Source organism: Homo sapiens, chromosome 19 (assembly GCF_000001405.40).
Source record: "Homo sapiens chromosome 19, GRCh38.p14 Primary Assembly".
Lineage (NCBI taxonomy): Eukaryota > Metazoa > Chordata > Mammalia > Primates > Hominidae > Homo > Homo sapiens.
In genome coordinates this window covers 4,042,373-4,066,961 of record NC_000019.10, presented here as the reverse complement: position 1 = coordinate 4,066,961, position 24,589 = coordinate 4,042,373, and the positions used below count along the sequence as shown (strand labels likewise).

Genomic DNA, 24,589 nt, shown 5'->3' with positions numbered 1-24,589 from the left:
TGGGCGTGGGGGGGCCGGCGGCTGCGGCACCTTTAAGACAAGGGAGGACCCCTCTTGCCCTCGGAGAAACCAGGAAGGGAGTCGCGAGCATCATACGGGGCTTTGGCTGTACTGTACAGTTACTGTAGGGGCAGTGACGCCGCCGCCGCCGCGCGAGGGAGCGACCAGGGCAGCGCGACGCGGGCAGAGCGAGCGCCGCGGACCCCGGAGGCGAGCGGCCGAGGGAGCCCAGTCCCAACTTCGGGCCCCGGCCCCGCGCGCCCCGGCCCGGCCCCGCGAGGTAAGTCAGCGCCCGGCGCGGCCCCCGGCACGGGGTGCAGGGCGGGGACGGGCGGGGGTCGCTGCGGCCACCGCTGCCCCCTCGGGAAGGGGAGATCCGGGGAGCCGGGGACGTTCCCCCAAGTTTCAGAGGAAGGGGTGGTTGGCAGCTGCCCGGAGGCTGGAGGCGCCCTGGATCCCGAGCGCGGGGAGGGGGCGCCGCCCGGGAAGGGGGGATTGGGGGCTAAGTGCATGAGCTTGTGCGCCAGCCCCCCCCAACCCGGGTGCATGGCTTTTCGGGGCTCCCAGGCGCGCGGGGAGCGGGGGAGGGGAAGCAGGGCTGCATTGAGGGTGGGGGGAGCCGGCGTGGGGAGATAGGGGGGCGCGTCGCCTGCTAAGTTTCCAGCTGAAGACGAGGGGCGCTCTCGCCCCCCGGGGGCCTATTCGGTGCTGCGTGCATACGTTGGAGTTGGCCAGGATTGAGCTCCATGGGGGATGGGGGGGAGGGGGCTGAAAAAACAGGGAGGGGGGCTTCGGAAAGGAGGGGGAAGGGGTGGGGTGTCCGGGTGGGCGGGCAGGGCCGCAGGGACCTCTGGGCTTCGTAGTCCCTCCGCCGTTTGCAGCCGGCAGGTGGCAAGCGGCTTGGACTACAAGTCCCAGGGTGCCCCGCGCCGACAGCCCGCCGCGGCCTGCGGGTAGGGGCGGTGCGGAGGAGGGGCGGTGAGCGGCGGGCCGGAGAGCCAATGGGCGCGGGCCGATCGCGCGGCGCGGCGCGGGGGCGGGGCCAGCCCGCCAGGGGGCGGGGCCTGGAGCCGGGCTCCCCTCGCCGGGGGCCGGTGGCGGTCCCGGCTTCCGGCTGCGCGGCCCGCGGGCCGGCCCCCTCCCCGCCCCGGGGCCCCTCCCCGCCTGGTTGTGTAACCGTCCCCAGCCCCCCTCCCCTCGGCCCCCCGCCCGTGGGGGGGGGGTCACCCTCCCCGCGCTCCCCGGGGAGGGCGGCGGCCCGGGCGGCCGCGCGGTGCAGGCGAGCCCGGGGATGCGCGGCCTAGCGCAGGCCGGGCCCGGGCGTGGGGGAGGCGGGCGGGCGGACCCAGATCCGGGGTAATTTGCATCGCCCTCCCCCCAGCCCGGGTGGGGATTGGCCGCCGGCGGCGGGGGGTGGCGCGGGGCCAGGCTCACTGCCGCCTCCCGGCCCCTCGGAGGGAGCCAGCCCAGCCGCAGCCGCCGCCACCGCCGCCGCCGGGGCCGGGCCCCCTCGCCGCTGCCCCGGGAAGGAGGTAGGAGCCCCCCGCGCGGGCGAGGCGGCGGGGGACCGCGGGCCGGGCGGGGGCCGCGCGCTGCGGCCGGGGCGGGGGAGGGGGCCGCTTCCTGCCCCCGCCCGGGCCTGACTCAGCCCCGGGTGGGGGGCCTGGCCTGGCCCCTCGCCCTGCCCGGACGGCCGTCCGGCTCCGACCCGCGGGAGGGGGCGGAGAGAGCACCCCAGTCCCCGCCGTCCGCGCCCCCAAAGCGCGTGACCCCGTCTCCTCTGGCCCGGACCCCCCCTCCTTTCCCTTGACGCCACCACCACGTGCGAAGCCTGAGCCCGGGCAGGGGAGGGGGGAGCTGGTGGGATCCAGCCCCCTCCCTCCCGCTCCCTACCTCCCGGGCGGGAGACCCAGCCCCCCCGGCCTGGGAGCCTGGCTGGGGGCTGAGCGGAGCGGAGGAGCGGGTGCCCCCCCAGGGACCGGGCCTCTGCGGGTTCTGGGAGGCGCTGCCCGGGCTGGCTGGCGGGGGCGCACGGTGGGCCGCGGCGGGAGGTTGCTGTCCACCCGGGCCCGGACACCCAGTCGGCGCCCACTAAATGTTGGCGGAATGCAGCCAGGAGTTGGCGGCGAGGCGGGGGGAGGCAGCAACTCCTCTCCCCCCAGTCAGGCGGCGGAAGTCACAGAGGTGCTGGTGCCCCTGCCACCCGCGGCACCCACCTGGCTCACCCATGGGTGGCGGGCTCGGTGGGCCCCCCCACCTCCCTGCCAGCTGCCTCCGGAGAGGGCGTGGGGATTCCGTGTCAGTGCCCCCCGCCCCAACCTCAGAACTGGACCAGGGCGTAACCCTGAGCGTGCCGCTCCCACACTGGGGGTGCCTCCCCACCACCGGCCGATCACTTCCTATTGGCAAACTGGTCTGGGAGAGGTCCCGGGGAGGCCAGGCTGGGGCAGGGGCCCAGGCCAGGCCAGGCCTAAGCCCAGCCCTGCTGCTGCCAGGGCCTGAGGGCTTCAGGCCGGGGGCGTTTGTCCGCGAGGGCCACCCGCCATGGGGCCCCGAGAGCACCTATCGGCGGGGCCGGGGCCTCTGTTTACCACCAGCCATCGCTGTGGAGACAGAGCTTGGGGGAGAAGGGGGGGCAGGAGCCGGCCGCTGGAAAAGCGAAGTCTAAGGAAGGAAAGAAGAGCCAACCGGGACACTGAAATTTTAATTCGTGGGTCAGTCCGGGGGGTATTTATTATTCAGTTCCGATTGGCTGCGTGGCGGCCAGTCAGCACCTGGGCCCGGGCGGGCAGCCACGCATCGGCAGAGGCCCGCGGGCGGCCGCAGGCAGTGGATGGGTCCTTTGCTCTGTGCGGGAGACTGAGGCGCGGCCGAGGCAGAGCCCAGCCTGGGGCCTGGTCGGAAAGGTTCCTGGGGCGATCACAAATCCCTGCTGGGTGTTTGTTTGTTTGTTTGTTTTTTCCTTTTCTTTCCTTGAGTCCCTCTGACCTATAGCTGGGTCCACCTGGTGGCAGATCCCCGTTGCCATATGAGGAGGAAACCAAGGCCGGGAGGGGAGGTCAAATGTGAGCCTGGAAACTCCGGAGGTTAGAGCAAGCCTCGGAGCAGGTGCCGGTACTAGGCAGGGGAGACTGAAGCGTAGGGGGAAGCAGAGAGCGGCCCAAGGTCACTCAGGTGGGGTCAGAGCTGCCCCCTGTGCTCCATCCTTCCAGCTCGGGGCCTGTCCAAAGTCCCCTCCCACTGTGTGGTGGCCCAGGGGCGCCTGCCCACCTGTCTTTAAGCAGGGCCGGAGGTTGGCAGTAGAGGCTCAACTGCAGGCACCTGCCTGCAAATGGAGTGTCACCGAGGCTTATTAAACCCTGTGTCCGAAGATGACATTGAGGCTCAGAGAGGGCCAGCATGGCTCCCAAGGTCACACAGCACGAGCCACAGCCCTCTCGCCTCCCTGCCTCACCGGGCAGGCCCTGGCTGGCGCACGTGCATACGAGGCCCCTCTGCAATCCTGCCGAGCCACAAACTCGTCTCACCTTGGTCCTCAGAGGCGGGCAGGGCTCTGGGTTTTATGACCAGAGGAGACCGAGGTCACCTCCCCAGAGCCAGCCCACTGCAGCCCAGATGCTCCAAGGAGGGCTCCTCAAGGGTTGGAATGCTGGCACGCTTGCTCTGCGACCTTGGATGAGCCCCGTGACCCCTGCAGCCGGGGCGCGCTGTGTTCCTGGGGCTGTGGAGGGTCCCCCAGCTGCTGCCTGCAAAGCCACCCGTGGTGTCTTTTCTCCTCCGCGGCGGAAACTCCCAGGTCAGCTCAGGGCATGGCAGAGACCTGAGTGTGGGGTGTGGGTCAGAACTGCGTGAGACACCTGCACCCCCACCTGTCACCTGCCAGACCATAAACTGCCCTGCAGTAGCCCTGGGCAACAAGGACAAGAGGAACGAGCTTGGGTGGGGGTGAGCCTTGGGTGGGGGTGAGCATGGTCCAGTCCTAGCCCAGCCCTTGGGTCCACCCCAGCAGTCACTCCCCCTCTGCCAGCCTCAGTCTTCCCATCCAGACAGTGGGGAGATGGTCATCAGCCCTAGAGTGTTGTCTCGAGGGTTCGCTCAGCGGCTCATTGGGAATGCTTGTTGAGCGACTACTGTGCACTGTGTCAGGCCCCTGCGGAGCTGTCTTGAGAGCTGGAGGGGCAGAGGCCCCTCCCTGAGCCACCCATGTCAGCTGGACTCCAGCCCTGCCCCAGGCTCCTGTGTGAGAGCTCCCTTGCAAGGCAGCTCTGAGGGTATGAGGATAAGCCGTCCTTCCTCTCAGCCCCCAGGGTAGGGGGATTTCATCTCCTGCTGGTATCCGGGGGCCAGGAAAGGGGATGGAAGGAGCCGTGGGAGGACTAGTTAGGCAGGCCAGAGCCAGACAGACGGCCCGTGCTCAAATTCCAGTTCTGCTGCGCGACCCTGGCCAAGCTGCTCCCCCTCTCTGATCCCGTTCCCCGTTTGCAAAATGGGGCACAGACACAGATCCTGCCTTCCAGCGCTGTGGGTGCCGTCACGTACCGTGGGTCTCTGGGGCGATTATCAAGGCCCAGCCTCCCCCAGCTGCTCCGAGGAGCGGCTCTGGCCCTTGGGCCCCGAGCGCCGAGTCCAGAGCCCCAAAGCGCAGAAGGCGCCCCTCAGAGAATCCGGCGCTCGGGAGGAGCGTGGCCAAAGGACCAGCCCCTCCATCTGTCCCCCCAGCAGGCTGTGGACGGCCACTCGGTGGAAGTGTCGCCACCCACGCCTTTCTGGTTTGACTGGAAAACAAGGCCCATCCCACCTATCAGGATGCCTGAGAGAAGGATCTGGCCGGATTCTGCAGGCCGCCAGGCTCCCAGGCTGAGCCTTCCACCTGCTCAGGCGAGAGTGGGGGTGGGGCAGGTATCTCCAGGTGACAAGCAGGCCTCCCTCAGGGGAGGGAGAGAGAGGTCACCTCGGCCTCTCACAGGCATCTCAGCTAAGCAGGTGCAGCCTGGGCTGATGGCAGGGTGGACAAGGATGGGCTTCCGAGAGTCTGGCCTTGCTTGCCCCCAGTGACGGGAAGCTCAGCCCCTCCACTGTCGTCATGAAGCTTCCTCTTGGAACCTGGGCTCGGGCTGTAGTCTGGGCTTCCTGGCCCATGACATCTCAGAGTGTGGGAACAGGGTGGGCCTCAGTCCCGCCCATGAGTTGGGCGTCAGATGGGATCCCCCTGGCCTCCTCATCGCTGCCCCCATCCCCGCTGTCACACTTCCCACTGGGTCCCCACGGCCTTCCTGCCTCTGGCCCTTTAAGGCCCAGGCAGGAAGCCCCTCCCCATTTAGGGCAATAAATGGACACGTAAAATGGCCGAGGGCCTGTTTGCTCCATGTCTGGCCCAGAGGGAGGCCTGCGGGCGAGGGCAGGCGGGCAGGGGGCGGGCTGGCAGCTGGCAGCCACCCCAGGCCGTTGGTGCCCCCCGATCGGGACACTGCATTCCTGTCCCATTAAACCCAGGCCGAGGACTGGGCCAGGCGGGGCTTGGCACCAGGTCAGGGCGGGGTTACCCGTCGGGACCAACCTTGCAACACAGGCCGCTGGGCGGGGAGGGGGCGGGGGCTGCCGGGTGCGGGCCTGGCAGCCGCACCTGCACACCAGGCTTACAGTGTGACCTTGGGCCGGCCGCCCACCCTCTCTGGGCCTGATCTCCCCTTCCAGCTTCCTCCTCAGGCCCCACCACTCACTCCCTTGGTAGGTGAGGAGGGGACTGAATTCCCGGAATAGCATTCAGGAGCAAAGTTCCCATCCGTGAGGGGTGGTGAACAGCCTGGCAATGTGTTTTGGGGACTGGCTCTGGCGCACATTAGGTCCCTGGGCTAAGTTTGCTGAATGGATGTGAGCGGGACCCTGACCACAGTGGGGGGCCCCTTTCCACTGTTACGACCCCCATCCCCCAGGAGACAGAGGCTCAGAGAGGTCTCGCATCTTGCCCAAGGTCACACAGCTTGGAGGTGGGGGAGCCGAGGCTTGAACCCGAGCTGCTCTGCACAGCACATGAGGGGTGAGAGGTCCCTTTGGCCTCCTTCCCTGCTCTCCCTGGGCAGAGGGTTGGGTGGGGGCCCTGATCCCCTCATTAGACGGCCCCCTGCTCCAGGAAGTGACCTTCGGGAAGGTGGCGGGTGGCAGTTACCTGCCCAGCCCTCACCTTGTCGTGTGACCTTGGGGAGGCCCCTGGCTCCCACACCCTGCACTAGCGATGCAGCCTCCTCTCTGCCGGTCCCCCTTCCCCGGTCGCCCACCTCCAGGCCTCAGTTCCTGATGCTCCCCGTGCTGGGGTGCCCTTCTTGGGATGCCGGGGTCCTTCCTAGGCGACATCTGCTGCTCCCTGAGCCACGTCAGGGTGCTTCCGAGCTCACGACACATCCCCCGCAGCTGGGAAGTGGCAGCTGCCCAGATCAGAGGGCTGCTGTGTGACCTCGACTGGGCCGCCTCACCTCTCTGAGCCTCTCAGGGACCTGGGGAAGACGAAGTGAAGGTGCCCAGTTAGTTTGGGAGCACAGAGGGGGCCGAAATGCGGCCCGGGTGCCGTGGCTCTCGACAAACACTACAGCAAGTGACCCTTAGGTTAGATGGGAGGTGGGACCGGCAGGCTGCACAGCCCCCTGCTTCTGGGTATGCCTGGCAGCCAGCTGGGTGGGCCGGGGCGTGGGCTGTCTCTGGTTTATCCGGCGGTTTGCTGCGCCCCTACTATGCGCCACCCTGGGAGGGTTGGGCTTAGGGGCCTGGGAGTGGCCCGGGGGGAGGAGGGCGCCCCACCTCCAGCCCAGGAGGGGCCTGCCAGGGCCTGCCCCTCGGCCGCCGAGTCAGCACCAAGCAGCCCCGGAAATCCCACGGAGGCCAGCGCGGGGGAGGAGCTGTGATGAAAGATGGGGCCCCGGGTGGGTGTGGGCCGAGCCCAGGGGACCCTGGCCGGCAGGGGTGGGGACCTGGCTGGCGTGGGGCCGGGGCTTCCTGGAGGAGGGGAACGAAACCGCCACCTCCGGAGGCGTGTACCGTGTGTCGGGCGCACAGTGGGGCTTCAGCACTCGGGGACTTTTTATTGCCAAGACTTTGTGGCCCCCGCCGGGGGTGCTCTGGCTGGGCCCGGCCTCCCCTCTCCCACCTCGGAGGCAGGGTCTTCGGCCCTTTCCTTAGGGGAGGCCTCCAGGAGGCCTAGGTGGGGGCATTGGCGCAGGGCGTGGCCGGCAGGTGGCTTGTGTTCCTGGAGTGAGGGCGTGGGTCAGTTGTCTCAGAGCGAGTTTAGTTTCCAGGGCGAGGGCAGGGCCTTGCCCTGGGTGGGTGGGGGGACCGGCCCCTCCATCATTTCCTGGCCCCCAGCCCCTGGGAGTCAGCCCTGCCGGGCATCCTTAGGCCAGGACTGCAGCCCTCTCTGGGCCCCGGCATTCTCATCTGTAAAACGCGGCCACAGTCCTCTCACGGGGGCTTTCCTTGGCTGACATCACCCCGGGCCTCGCTGCTTTGAGGGAGGGCCTCAGTGATATTTAGGGGGGAACAGGGGCCCAAGAGAGGGTCCCAGGCTGGAGAGGGCAGAGACTGGGACCCCCGGACCCAACCTGGAACTGGGATCTTCACACTGGCGGGGACCTGCAGGAGGTCGCTGAGCCACCTGGATTATTTTGGGCCCATCCTCCAGGCCCCAGGAAAGACACCTCCCAGCCACTCCAGAGCGGGGACCCTGGTCACCCGAGGGGAGGAACGGCCCAGCAGGCCAGGGATAGCCATCTTGGGGCGTTGGTGGCCTGGGTCAGAGGTCTCCCCCCATGCTGGGGTGGGTAGGAGGGCCCGGGCCCGTCTGATCCGGAGCTCCATCTGCTCACACGCTCCCCGCGGCCCAGGGCCAGACGGCAGATGGTGGCAGGGGGTGGACACCACCAAAGGGGACTCCTCGGAGGCTTCCCAGGGCCGAGCCTTGGGTGGGGTCGCTCCCCTCCTACCCTCCCTGCTCCCAGCAGCCACATCTGAGCCCACCGCCCCACCACAGGCCTTAGAGTAGACGGGGGTGCTGAGCAGCTGGGCCCTGGGCCGAGGCTGGAAGGAGGGAAGGAAGGCGGGTGGAGGGGCCTGGGGAGCGTGGTGGCACTGAGCAAGCTCACAAAGGCCTCTGTGTCGCCTGGCAGCTCAGGCCCCGCGCTGAGGGCCCTGGGCTTTGGGTCCGGCTGGACCGACACCATGCCTCCCTTGTGGGGCCTGGCTCAAGCCCGTCGGCGTCAGAGCCTGCCTGAGCTGCTGGGCTGGGGGACAGGAGGGTCTGGTGGCCCGGAGGAGGCCATGAAAGGCCCAGCTCAGGCCCTCTCCCCAGGGGCCTTGCCCAGGGGCTCTGGCCCGAGAGCCACCGGCCGGCCTGGAGGAATGTGAGCTGTGCTGGGTGACTCGGGGCCGCCAGGGGCTCCCAGGAGAGGGCGGAGGGGTGGGGACAGGGGCCAGAGGGTTGCACAAGCTCCGAGTGGGTGGATGAGTCACAGCCGAGGGGAAGGCGGAAAAAAGGGAGGGGGAGAAAGGGGTGGGACAGACACAGTCCCCCCAGGGCCCGGCGCTGCCCGAAACCTCTGCCCATTTGACAGATAGGGAGACTGAGGCCCAGAGAGGGCCAAGGCCTTGGCTGGGGCTGAACAGCTCAGCTGGGGTGGCTGAGAGTTGGGGAGGGGCTGCCAGGCAGTCCTGTGGGCAGGCAGGAGGTGGACAGGGGTTCCCCCGGCTCCCTGCTCCTCCTGGGCTGTAGCCCGGTCTCTGTTACTCACAGCCAGGGCTGAGCCCTATGCTGGGGGCTCTGAGGGGCAGGAAGGGGTTTAGCCTGCGGAGTCACTGGCCCTGTCCGGACGGGGCACACCCACGGTGGCCTTGACCTCAGCTGGGTTTCGGCACTGGGTCCCCGTGCCTGGGCTGCCACACCCCTTCCTGCTGACTCAGAGCCCCCCTGAAAAGAACCAGGCCTGACCAGGAGGCAGGAGTCAGGGTTGGGGAGGCCAAGGGGTCGGCTCTTAGGTCCACTCTGGGTTTGAGTTTGGACGCAACTGTGTCCTCATGGTGGGGCCTCGGGCAAGTGGCCTCAGCTCACGACGGAGTGGGTGCTGCCGGTGGGGTTCGGGTGGAACTGGCGGGAAGTAGGTGTTATGTGTTGTTGTTATTGTTTTTTTTTTTTTTTTTGGAGACGAGTCTCGCTCTGTCACCAGACTGGAGTGCTGTGGCGTGATCTAGGTGGCTCACTGCAGCCTCCACCTCCTGGTTCAAGTGATTCTCCTGCCTCAGCCTCCCGAGTAGCTGGGACTATAGGCCCGCGCCACCAGGCCCAGCTAATTTTTTGTTAGAAATGGGGTTTCACCATGTTGCCCAGGATGGTCTCAATCTCTTGACCTCATGATCCACCCACCTTGGCCTCTCAAAGTGCTGGGATTACCGGCGTGAGCCACCGCGTCTGGCCATAGTAGGTGTTTTGTAAAGGTCACTGCGTGGCCTCCCCTCTGTATCGGCCGAAGCCCGTGCTCAGATCAACAGGAAAATGGCTCAGATCAGGGCACTTCTCTCGAGCTACTGCGTCCTCCTGTAGCGCCTCAGAGTGCCCTTTCCTTATTTATTTATTTTTCCAACACGGAGTTTCGCTCTTGTTGCCCAGGCTGGAGTACAATGGCGCAATCTCACCGCAACCCCCGCCTCCCGGGTTCAAGCGATTCTCCTGCCTCAGCCTCCCGAGTAGCTGGGATTACAGGCACGCGCCACCACACCTGGCTAATTTTGTATTTTTAGTAGAGACGAGATTTCACCATGTTGGTCAGGCTGGTCTTGAACTCCAGACCTTAGGTGATCCGCCTGCCTTGGCTTCCCAAAGTGCTGGGATTATAGATGTGAGCCACAGTGCCCAGCCCTTTTTTTTTTTCTTTTTCTTTTTCTTTTTTTTTTTTTTTCAGACCGAGTCTCGCTGTGTTGCCCAGGCTGGAGTACGGTGGCTCCATCCAGGTTCACCACAACCTTCGCCTCCCGGGTTCAAGCGATTCTTCTGCCTCAGCGTCCTGAGTAGCTGGGATTACAGGCACGCGCCACCACGCCTGGCTGATTTTTTTTTTTAAGACGGAGTCTCGCTCTGTGGCCCAGGCAGGAGTGCAGTGGTGCAATCTCGGCTCACTGCAACCTCCACCCCCCAGGTTCAAGCGATTCTCCCGCCTCAGCCTCCCGAGTAGCTGGGATTACAGGCACGTGCCATCACGCCCATCTATTTTTGTATTTTTAGTAGAGACAGAGTTTCACTGTGTCAGCCAGGATGGTCTCGATCTCCTGACCTGGTGATCTGCCCGCCTCGGCCTCCCAAAGTGCTGGGATTACAGGTGTGAGCCACCACACCCAGCCTAATTTTTGTATTTTTAGTAGAGACAGGGTTTCACCATGTTGGCCAGGCTGGTCGCTGGTCTTGAACTCCTGACCTCAAGTGATCTGCCCACCTCAGCCTCCCCAAAATGCTAGAATTACAGGCGTGAGCACCGAGCCGGGCCTCAAAGTGCCCTTTCAACAGGCATTCCCGGGGGCCCTCCTCGGAGGGGTGGTGCCAGTGTGCTTGTGAAATTTAAGCGTCCAGTGTGGGTTTTGCCAGCCTCATCTCACGCTGATGAGACAGAACAGGGCATCTGACTGCTCTTGGGCACAGCTAGGGAAACTGAGGCTGATGGGGGGCAGGAAACCTGACTGTCCTCATGCACAGCTGGGGAAATTGAGGCTGGGGGCAGGACAGCTGGCCGCCCTTGTGTACAGATGGGAAACAGGTTGGGAGTGGGACACCTGATTGCCTTCCTGTACAGCTGGGGAAACTGAGGCTGGGGACATGACGTCTGATTGCTTTTGTGTACAGCTGGGGAAACAGGCTGGGGGAGGCAGGACATCTGACCATTCTCATGCACAGCTGGGGAAACTGAGGCTAGAGGATAGGACATTTGACTGCACTTGGGAACAGCTGGGGAAACTGAGGCTGGGGAGCCGGGACATCTGGCTATCCTCATGCACAGATGGAAAACAGTCTTGGCCGGGTGCCGTGGTTCATGCCTGTAATCTTAGCACCTTGGGAGGCAGGGGCGGTTGGATCATTTGAGGCCAGGGTTTTTTGATTTGTTTTGTTTTTTTGAGATGGAGTCTTGCTCTGTTGCCCAGGCTGGAGTGCAGTGGCGTGATCTCAGCTCACTGCAAGCTCTGCCTCCTGGGTTCATGCCATTCTCCTGCCTCAGCCTCCCGAGTAGCTGGAACTACAGGCCCCCGCCAACACGCCCGGCTAATTTTTTGTATTTTTTAGTAGAGACGGGGTTTCACTGTGTTAGCCAGGATGGTCTCCATCCCCTGACCTCATGATCTGCCTGTCTCGGCCTCCCAAAGTGCTGGGATTACAGGCGTGAGCCACCGCGCCAGGCCGAGGCCAGGGGTTTGAGACCAGCCTGGCCAACATGGTGATAGCCTGTCTCTGTATTAAAGACACACAAAAAAGAAAAGAGGCTGGAGGCAGGGCATGTATCGCTTTGGTGCACAGCTGGGGAAGCTGGGGCTGGAAAGGCGCGACATCTGACCGCCTTCACGTGCAGGTGGGAATGTGAGGCTGGGGGAGCAGGGTGGAACGCTGCTTCTCAAGGGCCTCGGGCCCTTGTCAGTGGGCACAGGAACCCCCGCACCCCCACTCACGAGCGCCCTCTCCTTCCCCACTGCTGCAGGTCTCGGCGCGGAAGATGGCCGGCGGCGTGGACGGCCCCATCGGGATCCCGTTCCCCGACCACAGCAGCGACATCCTGAGTGGGCTGAACGAGCAGCGGACGCAGGGCCTGCTGTGCGACGTGGTGATCCTGGTGGAGGGCCGCGAGTTCCCCACGCACCGCTCGGTGCTGGCCGCCTGCAGCCAGTACTTCAAGAAGCTGTTCACGTCGGGCGCCGTGGTGGACCAGCAGAACGTGTACGAGATCGACTTCGTCAGCGCCGAGGCGCTCACCGCGCTCATGGACTTCGCCTACACGGCCACGCTCACCGTCAGCACAGCCAACGTGGGTGACATCCTCAGCGCCGCCCGCCTGCTGGAGATCCCCGCCGTGAGCCACGTGTGCGCCGACCTCCTGGACCGGCAGATCCTGGCGGCCGACGCGGGCGCCGACGCCGGGCAGCTGGACCTTGTAGATCAAATTGATCAGCGCAACCTCCTCCGCGCCAAGGAGTACCTCGAGTTCTTCCAGAGCAACCCCATGAACAGCCTGCCCCCCGCGGCCGCCGCCGCCGCTGCCAGCTTCCCGTGGTCCGCCTTTGGGGCGTCCGATGATGACCTGGATGCCACCAAGGAGGCCGTGGCCGCCGCTGTGGCCGCCGTGGCCGCGGGCGACTGCAACGGCTTAGACTTCTATGGGCCGGGCCCCCCGGCCGAGCGGCCCCCGACGGGGGACGGGGACGAGGGCGACAGCAACCCGGGTCTGTGGCCAGAGCGGGATGAGGACGCCCCCACCGGGGGTCTCTTTCCGCCGCCGGTGGCCCCGCCGGCCGCCACGCAGAACGGCCACTACGGCCGCGGCGGAGAGGAGGAGGCCGCCTCGCTGTCGGAGGCGGCCCCCGAGCCGGGCGACTCTCCGGGCTTCCTGTCGGGAGCGGCCGAGGGCGAGGACGGGGACGGGCCCGACGTGGACGGGCTGGCGGCCAGCACGCTGCTGCAGCAGATGATGTCATCGGTGGGCCGGGCGGGGGCCGCGGCGGGGGACAGCGACGAGGAGTCGCGGGCCGACGACAAGGGCGTCATGGACTACTACCTGAAGTACTTCAGCGGCGCCCACGACGGCGACGTCTACCCGGCCTGGTCGCAGAAGGTGGAGAAGAAGATCCGAGCCAAGGCCTTCCAGAAGTGCCCCATCTGCGAGAAGGTCATCCAGGGCGCCGGCAAGCTGCCGCGACACATCCGCACCCACACGGGCGAGAAGCCCTACGAGTGCAACATCTGCAAGGTCCGCTTCACCAGGTGAGCTGCCCGCCGCGGGGGAGGCGCCGTCCTGCTCTCTGCCCCAGCATCCGCCGCTCACGACCCCTCCCGCCTCTCTCCCTGCACCGCACGCACACATGCACGCAGACGCACACATACACGCACGTGCACACAGACACGTACACGCACAGACACATGCACGTCACCTACACATCCACACACACGCAGACACACATACACGCACTTGCACATATATACGCACATGCACACACATGCACAGACGCGTATGCCACGTACACATGCACACACACAGACGCACACACGCACACGCACACCACATACACATACAGACATGCTACACAGACACATGCAGACACAGATGCACACCACATACACATCACATACACATGCACGCACACACACGCACACCGACATGCGCGCACACACACGCACACCACATACACATCACATACACATGCACGCACGCACGCACGCACACACGCACACCCAGGCACGCACACAGATGCACACGCACCCCCAGACATGCATGCAGGCACATGCACACAGACACGTACATGCGCACACATACATGCACATGCATGCAAACATGCACCCACAGACACACATATATGCACACACACGCAAACAGACACACCCCACCTCTTGGGCCCAAAGCCAACGAACGCTTCCCTGACCCACGTGGCTGTTAAGAACAGCCTAGACCAGGCCCTGCCCTTGTGGGTGGACATCCCGGTGGGTGACAGCACAGGCCAGACATAAGATGACAGCCACATCATATGCAAAGCGTGCCGGACAGGGTTGAGCTGCGGGAGGTGGGCGGGAAGGCACAGTCGTTCTTCCTTCCTGGAGGGCTGGTTCTTCTCTTCTGCACTTTTGGATTTTTTTCTTTTTCTGCTTTGGGAGAGGGTGACAGGCCCTCAGGCTTAGGGAGGGACAGCCCAGGCCGTGGAGCGGCTTCTGAGTTTCCCGTGAGCCTGGGTCATTTGCTTCAATCAGCCAACATTTATGAAGCGTCTGCTGGTGCCAGGCCTGTTCTAGGCGCCGGGGACAGGCCTTGCCGGAACCTGAAGGAGGGGAGGAGCAGCTGTGGGAAAGGGCGTTCCAGGCAGAGGGAACAGCCAGTGCAGAGGCCCTGAGGCCAGCTCAGCTTGAGAGATCACTGTGCCCCCCTGGGAGCCACAGGACTTGGTCCCTAAACAGCAGGAGTTCAAGGCCAGGCCCGGGCAGTTTGCAATTCGGTCTCAGGAGTCCAGAGGTGGCTGGCTGGGCCTCGTAGATCCGGGGCGGGCTGTAGCGGTGGGGGCAGGGGGCTGGCAGGCAGGGACCTGGCCAGGCTGGGTGACTCAGCACCACCCCCTGCCCCCCGCCCGCCCTGGGGTTCCCCCAGCCACGCCCACCGAGGCTGAAGAAAGAGGCCATTGTCCCAGCTTCCCAACCCCACCCCGTGGGGACAGGAACTGGGACTGACCCCTCCCCAGCACCCCGGCCCCCTCCCCAGCAGGCCAGGAGAGGAAGGTGCGGCCTGGACTCCGGCGCCCAGGAGTGCCAGGCAGGGGGCAAAGGGCACTTTGGGAGGCAGGCAGTGTAGCTGGTGGTTTGTCCCTCCTTGGTGAGGTTGGGGTACTGGAGGTCTTGGGGGGCTCCTCTTCCTCCAGGCAGGGGTCACTGTGGGTTCGTCTCTGAGCTCAGGAAGAGCAGCTTGGTGGGGTGCAGAGAACTGGGGTCTGCAGAGGGGACCAGGCTGAGCGAAGGTGGTGACCCCCACCCTGCCTCCCTGGCCGCAGGCCACAGGCCCGGTTTCATTCTGACTCGGGCACTGCTGGCTATCCCACCCGACCCGGGGCTGATCCCCTCAGTCAGAGAAACTGAGGCTTAGAGAGGGACAATTGTGGAGACCTCTTCCTCCCACCCCAATTTAGACCCACCTGCTTCCTCTTTTCCCCCACCCCGTGCTCTGGTCCCCCCTCCCCAGGACACCAGCACCTCCACCCTCCAAAAGCCTGGGAGCCCGAGGCCCCTCTGAGTCACAGCAGGGCGTTGAGTAAGTGGGGCCTGTGGTGGCCGGGGCTATAATTACCCAGGCTGGGGCTCGGGGTGATGAAACTAGGGATACCTCCGCCCCCACCCCGCCTCTGCGTGGCCCTCTGGCCTGCTGTGCAGCTCCAGGCAAGTCCCTTCCTCTCTCTGGGCCTCCCAGGCTCATCTGGGGAGTCTCTGCACGGTTCTAGAAAAACCTAGTGGCTGCCATCCCCTCTGTGACCCCGGCCCTGTGCCAGATCTGGGCAAGGCAGCCCGGAGACCTTGCCGTGGGCTTTGCAGAAGGTGATCAGTAAACCAGAGGCCTGGAGGCTGGTAACAGACCTGGTTAGGCCAGGGTTCTGTTAGCAAGTTACCACGTTCTGTTGGCTTCAGTGGGGCAGCAAGGCTAGAGATAAGGTAGGGGTCTGGTTGCCAAGGGCCAGGCCTTGACCCTCAGGGCAACAGAGCCAAGGAGGGGTTAAAGTTAGGGACACCAGCTCTGTAGCTGGTGCCAGAGGGAGGGACTTAGGGCTGGAGGAACCCAGAGGGGAGCCAGGTCTTTGGGAATTAGGAAAGGTAGAGGGGCATTCAAGGTAGGGCTTTGAGGGATGAGTAGGAGTTTGCCAGTCCCCACACTAAAGAAGTCTTCAGTCTATTGAGTGTGAGAAGGAAGAAACCCGAGGTGGCTCAGATGTGGGGCACAACAGGCAGCAGCAAGGAGTAGGTCAGGTTCTAGCCAGGGCTCTTGAGACCCAGGGCTCCCTCCTGCCCTCCGGATCCCAGGAAGGAGTACACTTTATTACTATAGATTGGCATCACTCAATGGGAATAGGCAAGACACCTACTTTTTTTTTTTTTTTTTTTTTTTTTTTTGAGACGAGTCTTGCTCTGTCGCCCAGGCTGGAGTGCAGTGGCACGATCTCAGCTCACTGCAACCTCCACCTCCCAGGTTCAAGCGATTCTCCTGCCTCAGCTTCCCAAGTAGCTGGGATTATAGGCGCCCACCACCATGCCGGCTAATTTTTGTATTTTTAGTAGAGACGGGGTTTCACCACGTTGGCCAGGCTGGTCTCGAACTCCTGACCTCAGGTGATCTGCCCGCCTTAGCCTCCCAAAGCGCTGGGGTTACAGGTGTGAGCCACCATGCCCGGCCAGCAAGCCACTTACATATTTTTACATTTTCTGACAGCCCCGTTCAAAAAAAGTCAAAGAGAGTTGGTGAAAGTGACTTGAAACATTTTACCTAACCCAGTAGATGCATTTCCATGTGTAGTCAATGTGCACGATCCTCATTGAGCCATTTTACATCACCTTTTGCATATCAAGTCTTCAAAAGCTGGGGTACCTTTTGCACTTCCAGCGCACATCAGTTCAGAGTGGCCACATTCCAAGGGTTCAGGAGCCACCTAGGCCACAGGCACCCCACTGATATGGTGACCGGCTTTGTAGGCTAGAGGCTCCAGGCTAAGCTGGGTCCACGCTGCCCCCATGGGGCGAGACAGGCAGGGAGGGGCCCTCAAGTCACACCCAACCCCTGCCTTCTCGGGGCTCACAATCCAATCAGGGAGACAGAGGAGAAACAAGGAAATCAACAGAAACAAGAGAGACCGGCCGGGCGCGGTGGCTCACGCCTGTAATCCCAGCACTTTGGGAGGCCGAGGCAGGCGGATCACTTGAGGTCAGGAGTTCAAGACCAGCCCAGCCAACATGGTGAAAACCCTGTCTCCATTAAAAATACAAAAATCAGCCAGGTGTGGTGGCGCACGCCTGTAATCCCAGCGTTTGGGGAGGCCGAGGCGGGTGGATCACCTGAGGTCAGGAGTCCGAGACCAGCCCGGCCAACATGGTGAAACCCCGTCTCTACTAAAAATACAAAAATGAGCCAGGTGTGGTGGCAGAGGGCCTGTAATCCCAGCTACTTGGGAGGCTGAGGCAGAAGAATTGCTTGAACCCGGGAGACGGAAGTTGCAGTGAGCGGAGACCACACCACTGCGCTCAAGCCTGGAAGATAGAGCGAGACTCGGTCTCAGAAAAAAAAACAATAGAAGAGTCAGGTGGTGATGACAGGAGGATGGAGACAGGGCTGGGGAAGGAGGTGACATTTGAGCCCAAATTTGACTGTGAAGATCCAGGAGGAAAAAAGAAAGTACCCCGGACTGCGGGAGCAGCACATGCAAAGGCCCCAGCGTAGCTTGTGCTTTGCACCTTTGCACGTCAGGGTGGAGCCCAGATAGGGGAGTGACGCTGAAGTGAGGGGAGAGTGGGCAGTCCTGGGTGTCGTGGGGTGGGGACTTGGTTACTAGGGTGACCAACTGCCCCACTTTGTCCCGGACAGAGGGGTTTCCCAGGATGCAGGACTTTCAGTGCTAAAACCAGAACAGTTGGTCACCCTATCTGTCACCAAACACCTCGGCCGCCGCCAGCCTCGAGAGGGCAGGGATGTTTGCCTGTCTTGTTCCTTGCGGTATTTTCAGCACCTGGAACAGGGCCTGGCCCTCAGCGGGCGCTCGGCAAAGGTCTGTGGCATGAATGAAGGCACCAGGCACTGGCTGGCCTCATCCTACCCCAGGGGTAGGGGCAGGATGGAGTGGCAGAAGCCCACTGTCTCCTTCTGTGGTAGGGAAAGGGGTTCATGGCGGGCGCAGTGGCTCACACCTGTAATCCTAGAGCTTTGAGAGGCCGAGGCAAGAGGATCACTTGAGCCCAGGAGTTTGAGATTAGCCTGGGTAACGTAGCTCAACCCCCATCTCTCAAACTTACATATATATATATATATATATATATATATATATATATATATACACACACACACACACACACATATAGTTTAATAGCTATTTAATAGGGTGTGGTGGTGCGTGTGCTACTCTGGAGGATGAGGCAGGACGATGGCTTGAGCCCAGGAGTTCGAGGCTGCAGGGAACCGTGATCACGCCACTGCCCTCCAGCCTGGGGGACAAAGCCAGACCCTGCCTCTCTTTTTTTTTTTTTTTGGAGACAGTCTCATTCTGTCACCGAGGTTGGAGGGCAGTGGCGTGATCTGGGCTCACTGCAACCTCCACCTCCCAAGTAGCTGGGATTATAGGCCTGCGCCACCACGCCTGGCAGATTTGTTTTTTGAGACGGAGTTTCGCTCTTAAAAAGTGAAATTTTTTTTTTTGAGACGGAGTTTCACTGCAACCTCCACCTCCCAGATACAAGTGATCCTCCTGCCTCAGCCTTCCTAATAGCTGGCATTACGGGCGCCTGCTACCATGCCCGGCTGATTTTTGTTTTTTGTTTTTTTGTTTTTTGTTTTTTTAGTAGAGACAGGGTTTCACCGTGTCGATCAGGCTGGTCTCGAACTCCTGGCCTCAAGTGATCCGCCCGCCTCGGCCTCCCAAAGTGCTGGGATTTCAGGCCTGAGCCTCCGCGCCTGGCCTAGACTTTGTCTCTTAAAAAGTTAAAAAAGGAAAGGAAACGGGGTTCAGAGAGGCATAGCGTTTTCCCAAGGCCACACAGCACTCAGGGTCCGAGGCCCTCTTTAGATGTTCAGAATGCGAAATCGCCCCCACTCGTCTCGTTTTTCGAGGGACCGTCCCCATCGGGGCACCGAAACCTCTGGTGCACGGTCCGTGTTCTGCAAGGGTGATGATCCAGGGCCTGCCGTGTCCGTGAGGGTCCCTGGGCGGGGATCGGGGGTCCCCGGCCCCACTGACCGTGCCCGCCCCGTGCCCCGTCCACAGGCAGGACAAGCTGAAGGTGCACATGCGGAAGCACACGGGCGAGAAGCCGTACCTGTGCCAGCAGTGCGGCGCCGCCTTTGCCCACAACTACGACCTGAAGAACCACATGCGCGTGCACACGGGCCTGCGCCCCTACCAGTGCGACAGCTGCTGCAAGACCTTCGTCCGCTCCGACCACCTGCACAGACACCTCAAGAAAGACGGCTGCAACGGCGTCCCCTCGCGCCGCGGCCGCAAGCCCCGCGTCCGGGGCGGGGCGCCCGACCCCAGCCCGGGGGCCACCGCGACCCCCGGCGCCCCCGCCCAGCCCAGCTCCCCCGACGCCCGGCGCAACGGCCAGGAGAAGCACTTTAAGGACGAGGACGAGGACGAGGACGTGGCCAGCCCCGACGGCTTGGGCCGGTTGAATGTAGCGGGCGCCGGTGGAGGAGGTGACAGCGGAGGTGGCCCCGGGGCCGCCACCGACGGTAACTTCACAGCCGGACTCGCCTAAAAACCAAAAAGAGAAAACAGAAACCCGAGAAAGAGAGAGACAGAGAGAGAGAAAAAAAATCACCCACCACCCCCCCAAAAACACAAAAAAAGAAAATCTATCTATATACAGATATCTATATCTATATATATATATACAGATATATATATATGACGCGTCACAGAATCTAGGGTAGCGCTTTCTCAGATTTCCCTCCTTTCTGACGTTTTTCTCCCTCCGCAGGGGCCCCGGCCCTCCCTGGCTCCCCTTCCCCCCACCACCCCATCGCTGGGTTTCGGGGCTTGGTTTGGGGTTTTTTGTAGGACACAAGGAATCCGAGACCCCGCACAGCCCCCTGGGCACCCGGCATGGGGCCTGGGGCCCGATCCGAGGCCCTGGGCTGGGGGGAGGGTAGACGTGGGGGCGCTGGGGGGGGACTGGGGTGGGCTTTTAATTTCCTCCCCTCGCTGGTTTCTATGAGTCTTTCAGACAAGACCTTAAATGATTTCTGTCTGCTCTGAGCGGACGTTAAAATGGGCCCCCGTCCCCCGACCCGCACCCTCCTTCCTCAGGGCACTTACTAAGGGAGGGGTCTCCCTCTCCATCTCCCCAGTGGCCTCCCCGCCTCCAACCCTGCCTGCGGCCTCCCCCCGTCGCCCACCCCACGTCTCCTGGCCACTGAGACACAAACCTATTTATTTCTAGGCCTGGAGAAAGGAGATCGGACTGGGGTTCCCGGTGGGGCGCCAGGATGGCTCCTGGGGGTGCTCCTGCCGCCTTCCTTCACGGCACTTACAACCGGCGGGACCCCCAGGGACCACCCCTCAGGGCGCCCCCCCACCCCCGCCCGGTCCACCTAGACCCCCACGTTTGGAGATTCAAAACTTCTGTCTTCGTCCTCTCCCCCGAGCCCCCTCTCCCAAATTTTTAAAGCACTTTTTAGATTTTTTTTTCTCTTTCCTCCTTAAAAACAAAATTTATATATAGATATATATATATATATAAATAATATACTTTTCCTCAGAGGAGCAGGCAACAGTGTGGGATAAACAGAGTCACGATCAGAGGAACCCCAGGGTCTGGTGATGGCAGGGATGGGGGGAGAGAGAGAAAATCCACAAATTCCAATGTCACAAAAGCAATAAAACAAACTAGAAAAAAAAAAGGTTTTACAAAATGAAAGGAAGGAAAAAAAAAAAGGCAACCAACCACATTAGAAGTCTTGGCACTTTGTAACGGAACGGGTACTACACTTTATCTTAATTCTTAATTTAAAAACATGTTTACAAGTTACAACCAACTTCTATGAAAAGTTGAAAAGACAAAAAAAAAAAAAAAAAGCGAGCGAGAGAGAGAGCGAGAGAGAGAGCGAGAGCAGAAGAAATTCCTAAAAGTCGATTTATTTTTGTACAAAATAATAAAAAAAAAAACCCACCACAAACGTAGAATCCACTTCTGTTCCCCAAAAAGCGAGAAGGGGGGTTCAGGAGGAAGCCATCGCAGGGGACCTGGGAGACGCCCCGAGGTGTTTGTGCTTCACCCCCAGACGTCAGCCTCGAAGGCAGGACTGTGGGGTGTTCGTGCTGTGTTCCCCCCGCTCCCCCTTTCTGTCCCCTTTTTTGGTTCTGACGTGAAGAGGTCTTAGCGCCCGCTTCTGTCCACGGGGTCTCTCCTTCCTCCTCCCTAGCTCAGGGATGGGCCTTCCAGCCGGAGCACCCCGATCCCCATCCGGCACCCCCCAATCCCCCAACACGCCTGTCCCTCCCGCATGGCCACCAAGGAGCTGGACCTTGGATGCGCCTACCCTGCTGAGGTGGGTGACAGGGGCCCCCCACCTCCAGGGCCTTAGAACCACCGCCCCTCTCCCCACCCCAGGCACCCCTCTTTTTACTCAAAGGCACTGACTGTAATCCAGGGGGACTGGGACCTGCCTCCCCCCAACCTCTGGCTCCCACAAGGCCCGGTGTTGACCGAGCCACAGGCCACGGACAGGGGCCGGGGTTGGGGAGACTATGTCGCCAGATGCCAGGACGCCCTCACCCCGTTTGCATATGCAATGCTAGCATGGGACCCCGAAAATAGACGCTCTGCTGCACTGAGACTTCTTGTCAATGCCCAACCGGCGGGGGGGTGTCTCCCTGCCCCCGACCCCCCCATACCCCCTTCTCTGTGACACACACATCTTCTCGTCTCTTTTTCTTTCATTGTTAAAGGGAAGCTTTTTAAGAAGGCAATTTTCATATTGTTTCTACAGGATGGTTTTGGTTCCCTTCCCTTCCCACCCCCCCTTAAGCCTGTCAGCCCCCTCCAAATGTCTCAGGATCCCCCCTCTCCCCTGGGGCTGGGTGACAGCACCCCGGCTGCGTTCACACCCCAGTGTCACAGGGCGAGCTGTTCTGGAGAGAAAACCATCTGTCGTGGCTGAGCGGGGAGCTTGAACACCCAGGCCAGGGACACCCCTCCCCAGCTCCCAGAGAGGCCCCCTGAGGGGTGAGCCCTCTTTCCACCTTCCCCTATCCATGCACCCCCTCGCAATAAAACCAACTCTAAAATCACAGCTGTCGTCCTAGCCAGTGGGGGCGACCGGACTTGGGGGGTGGAGCCCTCTGGGACTTCCGTAGGAACAAGGGCTGCGGCCCACCGCGACACTTACACAGACCTCGGGGATTGCACTAAACCCTCGTTCCTAGCTCCGCACTCAGCTTCGCCTGTCCTGCCCGCCCACTTTGCCTTAACTACCCGCCCGTCCTGGGGGCCACAGCCTCTGCATGGGCCCAGAGCCGGGACCCCCCCAGCCCAGCCCCGCCCTCCCCAGACTCCGCGCAATCACATACTGTATATAGACGTGAATCGATTTTATTTTTATTCTTTAAATTAAGGTCGTGATAAAGTGTTGCCAAAGATACCTGCTGAATTCTCGCGTTTCAGGAAACAAACAAACAAAAAAAAATGATATTTGAGGAGGGTCGTGTTGACTCCATATGAAAGGACACAGCTCAAAGCTTTTTTGTTTGGTTGTTTGGGGTTTTTTGTGTTTTCTTTTTTTGGGGTGTTTTTTTTTTAACTGCCTGGTACAAAAAAAAAAAGAGAAAAAAAAAAAAGAAAAACAATGCGAAATTGTTATTTCCATTCTCATGGTGAAGTTGCGTGGACGCGTGTGTGCGTGTGTGCAAGAGAGCGGGAGTGAGGTCCAGGCTGGGGTTGGGGGGCTTCAGGCGGGGGCGCCCGGGGGCCGGGGAGGTGGCCGGGCCGGAGCCCCCGTCTGCAGTGCCCCCCAGCCTGCCGGGCCCAGGAGAGAGAGAGAAGCATCTTTGCTACTAGCTGTTGCTGCTACCTGCCTCTGCCCCCCGACGCCCCCCGCCTTTTGAGATTAAGGAAAAAAAAAAAAAGTCAAAAAAGTTTTTAAAAATGAAAAAAAAAAATTATAAACCAGTGAATGTAAAATGCCGGAGCAGGCCCGGCCTGGCATGGGTGTGGACCTGCAGCCAGGCAGGCTCGAGCGGGCGATACCAAAGTCTGCCCCCCCACCATTGTGGCCATGCAGTCCTGTCACTGTCTTTTTGCTTCCTTCCGAGGGGGGTCCCCCAGCCTCTTCCAGGGTCTTCCCCTGGAAGTGGGCGGCTGCAGGGAAGGTGGGGGACAGGGGTCTTTGCACGATTCAGACCCCGGGGCCGTGGCAGGAGCGGTCACCTCACAGGTGGTGACACTGAGGCAGGGGCCTCGGGGTGCCCCCTCCCGCCCGGCAACCAGAATGGTTGGAGGCAAGACAGAGAGAATGAAAGGAAAAACAGAAGAAAAAAAAATATTAAAAACCAACAAAAAAAGCAAAAATCCTATTTTTTGAGAAAGAAAGATATTTATATTTGCAGTTTTATTTTAAAAAGTTATTTAAGTTGAAGCAGCCTTCCTGGAGGTGGGGGGGGGGGGGTGGTGGGTGGCTGGCGCAGGACGGGTCAGGGGCCTGGAGGCTGGGGGTGCCCCAGGAGCTACAACCTCAGAGTTAAGACTAGCTCGCATTAAATACATAGATTTACGGGGGGGGGGGGGGGGGGCCGGGCCCAGGGGGTGGAGGGGGCCAGGGAGACCCCCATCCCTCGCCGGGGCTGCCTGGAGGCTGTGGACCAGGATCCGATGCCCAGGTCCCGCCCCCCACCCCACCCCAGGCCCAGAATCGAGGTGCCTTGGACTTTGGAGGGGCCAGGCCTGGTGAATGGGGGGCGGGGCGGCGCCCTCAGGGTACAGAGCACAGACAGATAGACATTCCAGAGACTGTATTGAGAGTCTTTATAAAGTGTGGGAGATTTAAAAAAAAAAAAAACTGATAAAAATGCACTTTTTGGGAGTGGGGAGGGAGAAGCTTTAAAAGTAATAAAAAACAAACAAAAACACAAAAGATGAAAAAACAAAAAAATTCATTTTTCTTGTACATAAAAAAAAAAAAAGAACCACTAAACGCAGCCTGTTACGACCGCTGCCGCCTCAGTCGCCTCATTTGATGTTCTCTGTGTTTTGTTCGGGGGAGGCTGGGGAGCGGGGATGGGGGGCTTGGGGGGGGTCCCCCTTTTCCCCTTTTGGCCCTGAAGAGACTGGGTGGGTTGAGCACCTCGTCCACACCACACCTTTGGGCCCAGGGTGACCGGATCCTGGGTCCCAAGGAGAGAAGCCCCAGGTCCCCGACCCTTCCTGCTCTTCCTGCCCGGCCTTGGAAGCCAGGCCCATCTCTCTGGGGTCCGTCTGTCGCGTGGCAGAGAGGCTGGGTGTGGATGGTGACCCAGAGCACCGGGGTGGGGGTGAGTGTCCGAGGAGTACCCAGGTCCAGAGGCCCCTCTTGCGGGGAAGGTGACCCATAGCCCCTGGCGCGGGCAGGCAGCTGGCACAGGATAAGGCCAGAGGGGCAGCAGGGAGAACCGGCCGGGCGAGTTGTCAGCAGAATCCAGGGCTGGGCCCTGGGCACCACTGGCTCCAGGCTTTCCCGAGGCCCCAGGCGGGGTAGCCTCACCTGGGGGCCACCTGACTCTGCTAGAGGACCCCAGGGTGCTGCCCCATGCCAGGCCCCAGGGACATGAGCCAGGATCTGGAGCCGGAAGCCTCAGCTAGCTGCAGCCCCTACCTCTGGGTAGGGTCTCTGAGGGAGGGCCTCCTCCTTCCTCCTGTCCTCCAACCAGACTCGGCCCATGTCCAAGGAATCTGTCCAGGCCAGCAAAGGTGGGGATGGGGCCAGCCCCAAGGGATGGATGAGGCACTCATGGAAGCAGATGGCACAGTGAGGCAGCAATGGCTGCACTGAGCCGGGCACTGGGTCCACTCAGAACCCCAGCTCCTCCTCTGTGGATTGGGCTCTTCCTAGTAGCCACAGGAAGTCAACAAAGCCTGGCCCAGCCCTTGCCAGGAAACACCACA

At 61.9% G+C, this 24,589-nt stretch overlaps 1 protein-coding gene across 4 annotated transcripts, besides 15 other annotated features; it reads left to right on the top strand.

Moving 5' to 3' along the window:
• Positions 23–72: a silencer, noted in NCBI's record as "silent region_9877". NCBI's record gives its function as "represses an Ori minimal core promoter by ATAC-STARR-seq in GM12878 lymphoblastoid cells {active_cell/tissue: GM12878}" and the evidence as "EXISTENCE:reporter gene assay evidence [ECO:0000049][PMID:35858748]".
• Positions 63–23,659, top strand: ZBTB7A (zinc finger and BTB domain containing 7A). 4 transcript variants are annotated; one of them, NM_015898.4, is made up of 3 exons: positions 63–280; positions 11,715–12,991; positions 18,718–23,659. In NM_015898.4, the coding sequence occupies exons 2-3, from the start codon at positions 11,730–11,732 to the stop codon at positions 19,208–19,210; spliced, it is 1,755 nt and encodes a 584-aa protein (NP_056982.1). In that variant the 5' UTR covers positions 63–280; positions 11,715–11,729; the 3' UTR covers positions 19,211–23,659. The 4 variants fall into 4 exon arrangements, with proteins under 4 accessions (NP_056982.1, NP_001304919.1, XP_005259628.1 ...); NM_001317990.2 differs by lacking the exon at positions 63–280 and adding an exon at positions 1,433–1,532; XM_005259571.5 differs by lacking the exon at positions 63–280 and adding an exon at positions 1,681–2,714.
• Positions 83–282: a silencer, noted in NCBI's record as "silent region_9876". NCBI's record gives its function as "represses an Ori minimal core promoter by ATAC-STARR-seq in GM12878 lymphoblastoid cells {active_cell/tissue: GM12878}" and the evidence as "EXISTENCE:reporter gene assay evidence [ECO:0000049][PMID:35858748]".
• Positions 763–1,532: a silencer, noted in NCBI's record as "silent region_9875". NCBI's record gives its function as "represses an Ori minimal core promoter by ATAC-STARR-seq in GM12878 lymphoblastoid cells {active_cell/tissue: GM12878}" and the evidence as "EXISTENCE:reporter gene assay evidence [ECO:0000049][PMID:35858748]".
• Positions 1,733–1,922: a silencer, noted in NCBI's record as "silent region_9874". NCBI's record gives its function as "represses an Ori minimal core promoter by ATAC-STARR-seq in GM12878 lymphoblastoid cells {active_cell/tissue: GM12878}" and the evidence as "EXISTENCE:reporter gene assay evidence [ECO:0000049][PMID:35858748]".
• Positions 2,113–2,252: a silencer, noted in NCBI's record as "silent region_9873". NCBI's record gives its function as "represses an Ori minimal core promoter by ATAC-STARR-seq in GM12878 lymphoblastoid cells {active_cell/tissue: GM12878}" and the evidence as "EXISTENCE:reporter gene assay evidence [ECO:0000049][PMID:35858748]".
• Positions 2,483–2,572: a silencer, noted in NCBI's record as "silent region_9872". NCBI's record gives its function as "represses an Ori minimal core promoter by ATAC-STARR-seq in GM12878 lymphoblastoid cells {active_cell/tissue: GM12878}" and the evidence as "EXISTENCE:reporter gene assay evidence [ECO:0000049][PMID:35858748]".
• Positions 3,233–3,412: an enhancer, noted in NCBI's record as "active region_13752". NCBI's record gives its function as "activates an Ori minimal core promoter by ATAC-STARR-seq in GM12878 lymphoblastoid cells {active_cell/tissue: GM12878}" and the evidence as "EXISTENCE:reporter gene assay evidence [ECO:0000049][PMID:35858748]".
• Positions 3,907–4,414: an enhancer, noted in NCBI's record as "H3K27ac-H3K4me1 hESC enhancer chr19:4062546-4063053 (GRCh37/hg19 assembly coordinates)". NCBI's record gives its function as "activates a minimal SCP1, AML or CMV promoter by ChIP-STARR-seq in primed H9 embryonic stem cells {active_cell/tissue: H9 hESC(primed)}" and the evidence as "EXISTENCE:reporter gene assay evidence [ECO:0000049][PMID:30033119]".
• Positions 5,365–5,414: a silencer, noted in NCBI's record as "silent region_9871". NCBI's record gives its function as "represses an Ori minimal core promoter by ATAC-STARR-seq in GM12878 lymphoblastoid cells {active_cell/tissue: GM12878}" and the evidence as "EXISTENCE:reporter gene assay evidence [ECO:0000049][PMID:35858748]".
• Positions 5,445–5,684: a silencer, noted in NCBI's record as "silent region_9870". NCBI's record gives its function as "represses an Ori minimal core promoter by ATAC-STARR-seq in GM12878 lymphoblastoid cells {active_cell/tissue: GM12878}" and the evidence as "EXISTENCE:reporter gene assay evidence [ECO:0000049][PMID:35858748]".
• Positions 6,445–6,554: an enhancer, noted in NCBI's record as "active region_13751". NCBI's record gives its function as "activates an Ori minimal core promoter by ATAC-STARR-seq in GM12878 lymphoblastoid cells {active_cell/tissue: GM12878}" and the evidence as "EXISTENCE:reporter gene assay evidence [ECO:0000049][PMID:35858748]".
• Positions 6,705–7,094: a silencer, noted in NCBI's record as "silent region_9869". NCBI's record gives its function as "represses an Ori minimal core promoter by ATAC-STARR-seq in GM12878 lymphoblastoid cells {active_cell/tissue: GM12878}" and the evidence as "EXISTENCE:reporter gene assay evidence [ECO:0000049][PMID:35858748]".
• Positions 7,115–7,244: a silencer, noted in NCBI's record as "silent region_9868". NCBI's record gives its function as "represses an Ori minimal core promoter by ATAC-STARR-seq in GM12878 lymphoblastoid cells {active_cell/tissue: GM12878}" and the evidence as "EXISTENCE:reporter gene assay evidence [ECO:0000049][PMID:35858748]".
• Positions 8,643–8,702: an enhancer, noted in NCBI's record as "active region_13750". NCBI's record gives its function as "activates an Ori minimal core promoter by ATAC-STARR-seq in GM12878 lymphoblastoid cells {active_cell/tissue: GM12878}" and the evidence as "EXISTENCE:reporter gene assay evidence [ECO:0000049][PMID:35858748]".
• Positions 22,546–23,278: an enhancer, noted in NCBI's record as "H3K4me1 hESC enhancer chr19:4043682-4044414 (GRCh37/hg19 assembly coordinates)". NCBI's record gives its function as "activates a minimal SCP1, AML or CMV promoter by ChIP-STARR-seq in primed H9 embryonic stem cells {active_cell/tissue: H9 hESC(primed)}" and the evidence as "EXISTENCE:reporter gene assay evidence [ECO:0000049][PMID:30033119]".
• Positions 23,660–24,589: the final 930 nt, after the last annotated feature.